Genomic DNA, 10,194 nt, shown 5'->3' on the forward strand with positions numbered 1-10,194 from the left:
ATTACCGTATGAGCTGGCAATCCTGCTTTTGTGTATACACCCAAGGAATTGAAAGGGGGTCTGGAAGAGACATGTGCACATCTGTGTTCCTAGCAACGGAACTCACCATAGCCAAAAGCTGGAAGCAGCCGTGGTGTTCACCAAGGCGTCATGGCTGCACGGAGTGAGTCTGTCTCTAGATGGAATGTTTCTCAGCCCTAGAAAGGGAGGAGACGCTGACACCTGCTACAGCGTGGGTGAGCCTTGATGCCTTATGCTAAGTAAAATCCAGTCCAACAAGGAAAAATGCCATGCGATTCTATTAACTTTTTTTTTTTTTTTTTGGCAGAGTCTCGCTCTCTCTCCCAGGCTGGAGTGCAGTGGTGAGATCTCAGCTCACTGCAACCTCTGCCTCCCAGGTTCAAGCGATTCTCCCGCCTCAGCCTCCTGAGTAGCTGGCACCACAGATGTGTGCCACCATGCCCGGCTTATTTTTGTATTTTTAGTAGAGACTGGGTTTCACCATGTTGGCCAGGCTGTTCTAGAACTCCTGACCTAAGGTGATTTGCCTGCCTTGGCCTCTGAAAGTGCTGGGATTACAGATGTGAACCACCGCGCCCAGCCACAATTCCACATATCTGAGGGACTGGAGTCATCAAATTCGTAGAAATAGAGAGGAGAATGGTGGGCGCCTGGGGAAGGCGGGAATGGGGAGCTGTGAACGGTGTTGAGTTTCAGTCTGGGAAGATGAAAAGAGTGTTGTAGATGGATGCTGGTGATGGCTGTACAACGATGTGAGTGAACTCAACACCATGGAACTGTGCGTGTTTAAATAGTTGAGATGGTAAATTTCATGTTATGTGTATTTTACCACAGTAAGGAAGGAAGAAAGGGGAGGATGAAAGAAGAAAAGGGGAAAGAAGGGAGGGAGGGAGGCAGGAAGGAAGGGAGGAAGGGAGGGAGGGAGGGAAGTTCCCTGTGGGCAGCCCTTAACTATTCAGAGGGACAAGTGGGACAAGCCTGGGGGCTGTGTTCCTGCCCCTGAGGGACTCTGGCCCAAGGCTTCCCTGCCTGCAGACCCCATTCCAACAGGCCACTTCTGAGACTGCAGAGCCTTGGTGGTCTCCAGGTCCACGACCAGGGAGCCCCACATGGGGAGGGTGCTCTCCACTCCACCCACCCATGAGCTGAGGGTTAGGCTGCCGCCCAGCATCCTGGTGCCACCTGCCCTGTTTGTGGGGCTGAGTGTTCTCCCTGGACGGGCCTGGCACATGGAAGAGCTCAGTGATCAGCTGTGGATCTGGTCCTCTGAGGCTGTGCCCTGTACCGTGAAGGACACCAGAATATGTCACTCCAAAATGAGCCTCAGAAATTATCTTGAGTTGAAGGCAACTAAGATGCAGCAGAAGCAGGGAAATCTCTCTCTGCCCTGTCCCTCTGCTGTCTGAGGCAGGATGGAAATTATAGGAGAGAGACGCATCAGCCAGAGGAAAGAAGGCACCCTAGGGCTCTGTGAATGAAACTTCCGCCTTAGTTTCCTCCCAATACTCACCTTGCCGGTTTCCCAAACTTGGAAGCCTAAAACCGCTCTCCTGGGTCCTGTCATTTCCCCACACGTTGATTATTCTTTGTTGAAGTTGCTCCATAACCCAGTTCTAAGTCACTGTTCTGAGTTGCTTTTTGTTGAAGCTTCTTCAGTGAGGTGCACTACATGCATTAATGAACTGTTTTTCTCTTTTGTAAGGAGCCCCAGCTGGAACCCTAAGAGGAGCAGAGGGAAACTTTCACTCCCCTACCATGGCACAGTGGCCTGCCATGTTCAGGGCTGGGGGCTAGTCCGGGTTCTCACACCTTTTGGCTGACTTTCTAGCCCCGACCCCTCGTCCCATCAGCTCACTGTTTCCATAAAACATTTGTCATGGCGATGTGCAAGGAGCTCCCTGCCACTGCCTTGAACTTCTTCCCTGAAAGCAGCCAGCCAGTGTTCAGAGGAAGGGAAGGAATAAAAGGCTCTGCAAAGGAGAGCCCGGTCAGACCAGGAGGTGTAAGCATGAAACCGATGTGTTACTCACAAGACCAGGAGGTGTAAGCATGAAACTGATGTGTTACTCACAAGCGGCTGGGCCAGGGAAGGACTTGGTTCAGAAGAGGGAACAGTCTTGCCCAAGGTCTTGCAAGCTTGTGGCCCAAACCCAGGTCCAGGGAGACCTCCATTCTGGTTTGCATGTGTTGGAAACAAGTGCTCGGTGTAGCGAAAAGAAACCCGCACTTAGAAAATTTCTCAGCAAGTCACTTTTACTTCTGTAGAAGGGTGCTGCCTGTGCCTGTTACAATCCCAAGAGCACACTGAACAAAGGAGGGAAGGGGTTTTTATCCCTAATGCAGTTTCTGTTTCTGTGTCCTTCCCCTATTGGCTGGGGTTGGGCCGCATAATCTAAGCTGACCCCGACAGGCTAATGCTTAAACCTTCCCAAATAAGGTAAAGGTGTGATTTTTGAAAAGGTTGTAGGGGTAGGATTTGTTTCCAAGTTATGGCCAGGAAGTTGAATCTTTGAAGAGGAACTTAGTTGTCCCAACAATTTCCCCTCTTCTGTTTTATAGTTCTTCCCCTTCAAATTTATTTAACAGGAGTTGGCTTTGTTGTTCTTCTTTATCATCTAGGAGCAAGAGCTTATCTGACTATGGATGGGGAGAGGTGGGGGAGGTTTTTGTGAGAGCTGCTTCTATGAGCCTTTGGGTTAACCCACGAATACAAGGTATGATACAGCAGCCCACAAGGATGAGTACACCTGTAACTGTTGCAAGGGAGGTAAATATTTAGGTCATGAGTCCCTTCCATTTTCCAAACCATTTCTCCATGACACCTGCAAAGGGGTCATCTATTCCAGAGTTCTCGGCTAATTCATTTGCTAGGGTGGTAAGGCTTGTAAGGCTTTTGTGATTGTCCTGTCCAGGGCTGTGTTATTGGGGATAAAAGTGCAACATTGGACCCCAATCATGACACAGACTCCGCCTTTTTTTGGCCAATATCATGTCAAGGGCTATCCTGTTTTCCCAGGCCATCTGGCTGGTAGGGCCTAATTGTTGAGCTATTCTTTTTATGGCATCTCTGGTGTAATTGATGAATCACTGTTGATTATAGTATATATAATGTATCCAGTCTACATTTTTGTTTATAGTGGACCACCAGAATAATACAGACTCAAACCTGGTGGCTATTTGGTTTCGAGCTTTGAATTCATTTTGTACCCCCCAGCGCAACCCCGATACTGTCTATGTAAATATGAGAGGTCAAAGGACCCGTGAGGGGTTTCTCTTTTCCTTTGGGTTACCTGCTTCCTGTCTGGTTGTTGAAATGCCAAGGTGAAAGGGATGGCCAATTGGATCGGAGTGCAAATGCTGCTCCAATTGTTTGGCAGAGTACTCAATATTGGTCCCCCACAATACCACTGTACATCTGCTTGGGGATGGATTAGGGCTGACTGACTGGTTAGCTCTTGGAAAGGTTTAGGCCCAGTACATCCCATCAGGTTTCCGAGGAACGTCAGATTTTCCCCTTGCCATGAGAGACATGAGGTAAAATTGGCATCAAGAGCTGGAAGTCGAATGGCCCTTGGGGGCTGTCCCGTAGGGCTTCTGACTTTTGGGAAAACTGGTGGTTTTGGCAATTTGAGGGTGTGACTCCTTTGGTAAGGTGGATGTAAGGTTTTAGGGCGGTGCAACCCTCTGAGGAGGTCCAGCCCTGATACTGGGTGGTCTAGATAACATCTCCCCAATTATAACATAACCCCTGGAAGGCTCGTGGTTGTCCATCACAAGGGTTTCTGATTTGTCTGAAGCGGGTGGAGGGGCAGAGGTACTTTTCTGAAGAAGCTAGCTGTTTTTGACTCTAAAGGTCTCCACAGGGCATGACAAGGCAAGCATTGAATGTGATCGTTTGAGGGCAGGGTGATCGGGTTACATTGATGATAAGATGTTCTTTGGTAACTAAAGGAATTAAAAAAAAAGACAGACTAAACCCTTTTGAACATTGGTTTGGAGGGTGTTGGTCCTGGAGTGACAGTCCATGACTTTGCAAGGGGTGGGTCCCTCCTTTTTCGGCCTTTGGATTGCTATCTCAGTGGTTAGGAGTATTAGATAAGGTCCTTCCCAGGTTGGTTTGAACTTTCCCTCTTTCCGTCTTTTGATAAGGACATGATCTCTGGGCTGGTGTTAGTGAACTGGGAATTCGAACTAGGGTGGAGTTTGCCCTAGAAGGCCTTGAGTCCTGAGGGAGGAAAGGGTGGAAGACAGACAAAATATACATTTTTTTAGAAACTGATCTTTTGTTTCAAATGTAGGAAGGTCAGTAGTGGAATTTAGATAAGGCAGTCCATAGAGCATTTCGTAAGGGGACAGGCCGAGATCTTTTCGAGGGGCAGTTTGGATTCTTAGTAAGGCAATGGGAAGGCATTTTGTCCATGGTAACCGCGTTTCCAAGATTAGTTTGGTTAGGTGACTTTTTAGAGTTTGATTCATTCTTTCTACCTTCCCTGATGAGGGTGGATCAGGGAATATGATATTCCCATCTTATTCCTAGTGCTTAGGTTAGCCCCTTAATGATGTGTGCAGTGAAGTGGGTCCCATTGTCTGAATCAATGTTCTCTATTAGTCCAAACCTGGGCATGATATGTTCCAACAGGGCTTTGACTACGTTACTGGCTGTTGCGCTTGGGAAGGGGAGGCTTCTACCCAGTGGGTGAGATGGTCTACTATTACTAGTAAATACTTGAGGAGGCCTACTGGGGGCATTTCAGTGTAGCCAACTTGGGCACTTTGGAATGGCCTCAACCCTGGGTTTTGTCCCCCAGGAGGTTGCTTCTTTAAGGGTTTGCTTATTAGCTTTTCTGCACACTATGCAACCATCTGTCACTTGCCTAGCAAGGGTATATATCCCTACACACCCACAGACTCTCTGAGGGCTGCATCACACATAGCTTGAGGAACCCAGTGAGTTCCCTGATGAAGCTGTGACAATATTTCTCTCATGAGGGGTTTAGACAGCATTTCCCTTCCATCTGGTATTACCCACTTTCCCTCTGGGCTCTCGTTAGCTCCTATGTTCTTTAGTTTCTCTTGGTCTGCACGGGAGAAGGTGGGGATCACAGCTGGAGGGGGAAGACAAGGGGTGAGATGGAAAATGGGTGCCTCTTGGGAAGAGACAGCTTGTTTAGCTATCTGATCTGCGAAGTTGTTTCCCCAGCTTTCAAAAGATGGGTGTTTGGGGGCCTAGGACATGGACAATTGCAATTTCTTCTGGCAGCTGAAGATTTTCATTCATTCATTTATTGAGACGAAGTCTCACTCTGTTGCCCAGGCTGGAGTGCAGTGGCACGATCTCGGCTCACTGCAACCTCCGCCTCCCAGGTTCAAGCAATTCTCCAGCCTCAGCCTCCCAAGTAGATGGGATTACAGGCGCCCAACACAACACCCGGCTAATTTTTGTATTTTTGTAGAGATGGGGTTTCACCATGTTGGCCAGGCTGGTCTTGAACTCCGGACCTCAGGTGATCTGCCCGCCTCGGCCTCCCAAAGTGCTGGGATTACAGGTGCAAGCCACCATGCCCGGCTCAGCAGCTGAAGATTTTCTAGTGCTTGCATAATTAATTCCTTGTGGACCAGATCTTGGCCCTTACTATTTACGAGGTCTTGTTGAGTCCAGATTTTTCAAAGGTAAGGACTACTCCAAAGGCATACTTGGAGTCGGTGTAAATAGTTCCTTCCTGATTCTGCAGGGATTTTAAGGCTTGGTTTAATGCAAAGAGTTCGCATGTTTGGGCAGACCAGGCATTTGGCAGTCTTCCTGACTCTACCTCTGTGAGGTCTCCCCAACAACTAAGGAGTACCCGTTGTGCCTTTTTCCTTCAATGACCCGGGAGGAGCTGTCTATAAATTGGTGACCCCCTGTTTGGAAGGCGGTTTCGTTTAGATCCAGTCTGACTCTAGTTTGATAACTGATTAGACCCAAGCAGAGATAGAGTCATCAAGGTTCTTGGTGTGTTGAACAAAGAACTGAACAAAATGCACAAAGTAAGAAAGAACAAAGAAAGAACAAACGAAAGACAAAGCAACAAAAGACCCGGAAAGCACAGCTTTATTGAAAACAATTCACAGGGTGGGAGTGGCTGGAGCAAACGGCTCAAGAGCTTCCTCAATTAGGGTTTTTATTAAGCTAAAGGAACCTGGCAACACCCCTTGCTGCCCTTTAGAGGCCTCCGATTGGCTGCCATCTGTCAGCTGCTATCTGTCACCAAAATGTGTCTTATTTTAGCAAGAAGTGGAGCATAATCTATTTAACCAATTGCCTCCTGCTGGACTTTGAGAATATTTTTCTATTTTTTAAAAAAATTGTTTTTGTTTTGTTTTGCTTTTTTTGAGACAGGGTCTGGTCTATTGCCCAGTCTGCACTGCAGTGGTGCAATCATAGCTCGCTGCAGCCTCCAACTCCTGGGCTCAAGCAATTCTCCTACCTCAGCCTTCCAAGTTGCTGGGATTACAAGGCACATGCCACCATGCCTGACTAATTTTTCTGATTTTTAGTAGAGACAGGGGGGTCTCACTATGTTGTCCAGGCTGGTCTTGAACTCCTGGCCTTAAGTGATCTTCCCACCTCACGCCTGTCAGCCATCGTGCTCAGTTGTTAGAGGTTTTATAAAAATGAAAAATGTCACATACTGTTTTTCCAGAAACTTCATTGGCACTAGTAAGGTTCTAGGGAGTTGGCAAACACTGATTGGTGAATGACTGCAGTGGGTAAAGCTTAGATGAGTGATGGTGGCAGATGAAGCTGTGACTAGTGAGTGATGGTGGCGGGTGAAGCTCTGATTGGTGAGTGATGGTGGTGAGCAAAGCTCTACCAGATGAGTGATGGCGGCGGGTTGTGGGGGAAAGAAAGAGCGATCAGACGGTTACTGTGTCTATGTAGAAAGAAGTAGACATAAGAGACTCCATTTTGTTCTGTACTAAGAGATATTCTTCTGCCTTGAGATGCTGTTAATCTGTAACCCTAGCCCCAACCCTGTGCTCACAGAGACATGTGCTGTGTTGACTCAAGGTTTAATGGATTTAGGGCTGTGCAGGATGTGCTTTGTTAAAAAAGTGCTTGAAGGCAGCGTGCTTGGTAAAAGTCATCACCATTCTCTAATCTCGAGTACCCAGAGACACAATACATTGCAGAAGGCCAGGCCGCAGGGACCTCTGCCTAGGAAAGCCAGGTATTGTCCAAGGTTTCTCCCCATGTGACAGCCTGAGATACGGCCTCGAGGGAAGGGAAAGACCTGATCGTCCCCCAGCCCGACACCCATAAAGGGTCTGTGCTGAGGAGGATTAGTAAAAGAGGAAGGCCTCTTTGCAGTTGAGATAAGAGGAAGGCATCTGTCTCCTGCTCGTCCCTGGGAATGGAATGTCTTGGTGTAAAACCCGATCATACGCTCTAAATACTGAGATAGCAGAAAACCTCCCTATGGCTGGAGGTGAGACATGCTGGCGGCAATACTGCTCCTTAATGCACTCAGATGTTTGTGTAAAGTCAAGCATAAATCTGGCCTACGTGCACATCCAGGCACAGCACCTTTCCTTAAACCTATTTACGACACAGAGATCTTTGCTCATATGTTTTCCTGCTGACCCTCTCCCCACCATTACTCTATAGTCCTGCCACATCACCCTGTCCGAGATGGTAGAGATAGTGACCAATAAATACTGAGGAAACTCAGAGACCAGTGCCAGTGCGGGTCTTCCATATGCTGAGCACCAATCCCCTGGGCCCACTTTTCTTTCTCTATACTTTGACTCTGTGTCTTATTTCTTTTCTCAGTCTCTCATCCCACCTGACGAGAAACACCCACAGGTTGTGGAGCAGCTGGCCACCCCTTCAGCAGGTGAAGCTCTGACTGGTGAGTGATGGCGGTGGGTGAAGCTCTGATTGGTGAGTGATGGCAGCGGGGTGAAGCTCTGATTGTTGAGTGATGGCAGCGGGTGAAGCTCTGACTGGTGAGTGATAGCAGTGGGTGAAGCTCTGACTGGTAAGTGATGATGGCGGGTAAAGCTCTGATTGGTGAGCGACGATGGCAGGTAAAGCTCTGATTGGTGAGCGATGTGGTGGGTGAAGCTCTGATAGGTGAATCATGACAGTGGTTAAAGCTCTGACTGGTGAGTGACAGCAGCAGGTAAAGCTCTGGTGGATGATGGCGGGTGAAGCTCTGACTGGTGAGTGATGGTGGTGGGTGAAGCTGGTCTTAGTGTCCCTGCAGGTTGTTTCAGCAGCCATGAGATAAAACTGGCCTCCTCCAACTGGCTAAACCTTATGAAGGATTGGCCTGCTACCAATCAGAGGCTGAAGTGGAGACTTGGCCCATGATCATTCAGAGGCTGAAGTGGAAACATCTGTCATGTTATCACAAGAGTGAAGATGTGGCTTGTATGCTGCCTAGAACTTGGTAGGCAAGTGGTTGAATCTCAGTCTCTCGGGCTTACCGCCCCTCAGTGGGGCCAGGCACGGTGGCTCAGCCCATAATCCAAGCACTCTGGGAGGCTGAGGCGGGCGGATCACGAGGTCAGGAGATCGAGGCCATCCTGGCTAACATGGTGAAGCCCCGTCTCTCCTAAAAATACAAAAAATTAGCCAGGCCTGGTGGCGGGCGCCTGTAGTCCCAGCTACTGGGGAGGCAGAGGCAGGAGAATGGCGTGAGCCTGGGAGGCGGAGCTTGCAGTGAGCCGAGATCACGCCACTGCACTCCAGCCTGGGCGACAGAGTCAGAATCCGTCTCAAAAAAAAAATAAAAGAAAGAAAGAAAGGAAAAAAGAAAAAGAAAGGCTCAGGGGGTAGAGGAGGAGGCCAGATAGGAGAGTTGTGTGGAGCCCAGATAAGGATCATGTTTATATTGACACCTCTGGGCAGTGAGCCTGGCACCTGTAAATGCCTGTAAATCGCCAGGGAGCAGAGGACAGTGCTGGCTGGGAGCCTGTGTCTCAGCCCTGCCCCGTCGAATGATGTGGCCTGTGGCCAGGAATATCACCTCAGTCTTTCAATTTCCTCATCTGCAAAATGGGGATAGCAATGCTGGCCATTCCTTCTCCCAGATCAGTGATGTGGTCCGAAAGTCCTAAACAGTGTCACTAAGTAAGGTGAAGTCTAATAAGTCATAAATCCCAGCCTGCCATAGGGACCTAAGAGCTATTCCCCTTCTCCTTCCCTGTGGAATCTGGGACACAGCAAGGAGCAGGACCAGGTAGCAGCAGGCTTCATGCTCCTTCCCCAGCAGCCTTCAGAGAGGACACCAGGGTTACCCAGGGATGGTTACCTGGTCCCCAGATCACCTTGTTGTGGCAAGTACCAGAATTGGGCACTGGCCAGTGATGGGCTCATAATAGCTCCAGCCAAATGCCCCTCTTTCCTTTGTCCTTACAGGGAAGGTGGGTTACACTTATCCTCCTGGAGCCATAATTCCTTTTTTTTTTTTGGAGACAGATTCTCACTCTGTCACCCAGACTGGAGTGAAGTGGTGCAATCTTGGCTCACTGCAACCTCTGCCTCCCAGGTTCAAGCAATTCTCCTGCCTCAGCCTCTGTAGTAGCTGGGATTACAGGTGTGCACCACCACACCCAGCTAATTTTTTGTATTTTTAGTAGAGACGGGGTTTCACCATGTTGGCCAGGCTGGTCTCAAATGCCTGACCTCAGGTGATCCACCCACCTTGGCCTCCCAAAGTGCTGGGATTACAGGCGTGAGCCACCGCACCCAGCCCGGAGCCATAATTCCGTTAGGCCTTACCCTGCAGTGCCTGGGCACCTGCCCTAGTGCCCTATGTGATTACGAGCATAGGTAACTACTTCTTCTTTCTTCTTCTTCTTCTTTTCTTTTTTTTTGAGACAGGGTCTCAACCTGTCACCCAAGATGGAGTGCAGTGGCATGATCTTGGCTCACTGCAGTCTCAATTGCCTGGGTTCAAGTGATCCTCCCATATCAGCCTCTGCAGTAGCTGGGACCACAGGCGTGCACCACCATGCCTGGATGACTTTTACATTCTTTTGTAGGGATGGGGTTTCACCATGTTGCCCAGGCTGCTCTTGAACTCCTGGGCTCAAGCAGTCTTCCCACCTCAGCTTCCCAAAGTGCTGGGATTACAGGGGTGGGCGACTAGCCAAGCCTAGGTTAACTTCTTATACTGCAAAGTT

General features: G+C 49.0%; 5 annotated features.

The window, feature by feature from the left end:
• Window positions 1,938–2,507: an enhancer, noted in NCBI's record as "PflMI-XmnI fragment from -3950 to -3252 in the PXm/SN and PXm/SV constructs (contain four copies of the 43 bp repeat)". NCBI's record gives its function as "activates a minimal ABO gene promoter and an SV40 promoter in transfected KATO III gastric cancer cells {active_cell/tissue: KATO III}" and the evidence as "EXISTENCE:reporter gene assay evidence [ECO:0000049][PMID:9325321]".
• Window positions 2,304–2,456: an enhancer, noted in NCBI's record as "-3899 to -3618 fragment in the -3899:-3616/SV construct (contains four copies of the 43 bp repeat); highly similar to the -3893 to -3616 fragment assayed for the B-Enhancer (four copies of repeat) from PMID:10873628". NCBI's record gives its function as "activates an SV40 promoter in transfected KATO III gastric cancer cells {active_cell/tissue: KATO III}" and the evidence as "EXISTENCE:reporter gene assay evidence [ECO:0000049][PMID:9325321, PMID:10873628]".
• Window positions 2,358–2,400: a tandem repeat, noted in NCBI's record as "43 bp minisatellite repeat unit that is tandemly repeated in A2-, B1- and O1-type alleles (four copies); only one copy is present in the GRCh38 reference genome assembly". NCBI's record gives the evidence for it as "COORDINATES:sequence similarity evidence [ECO:0000044][PMID:9325321, PMID:10873628, PMID:12935472]".
• Window positions 2,378–2,400: an enhancer, noted in NCBI's record as "TR23 sequence in the 4x23/SV construct". NCBI's record gives its function as "activates an SV40 promoter when four copies are present in transfected KATO III gastric cancer cells {active_cell/tissue: KATO III}" and the evidence as "EXISTENCE:reporter gene assay evidence [ECO:0000049][PMID:9325321]".
• Window positions 2,378–2,400: a protein binding site, noted in NCBI's record as "TR23 probe containing a CBF/NF-Y motif". NCBI's record gives its function as "binds CBF/NF-Y and is necessary for activity of the ABO upstream enhancer in KATO III gastric cancer cells {active_cell/tissue: KATO III}" and the evidence as "EXISTENCE:protein binding evidence [ECO:0000024][PMID:9325321]".

The sequence above is a fragment of the Homo sapiens genome, chromosome 9, assembly GCF_000001405.40.
Source record: "Homo sapiens chromosome 9, GRCh38.p14 Primary Assembly".
Classification (NCBI taxonomy): Eukaryota; Metazoa; Chordata; class Mammalia; order Primates; family Hominidae; genus Homo; species Homo sapiens.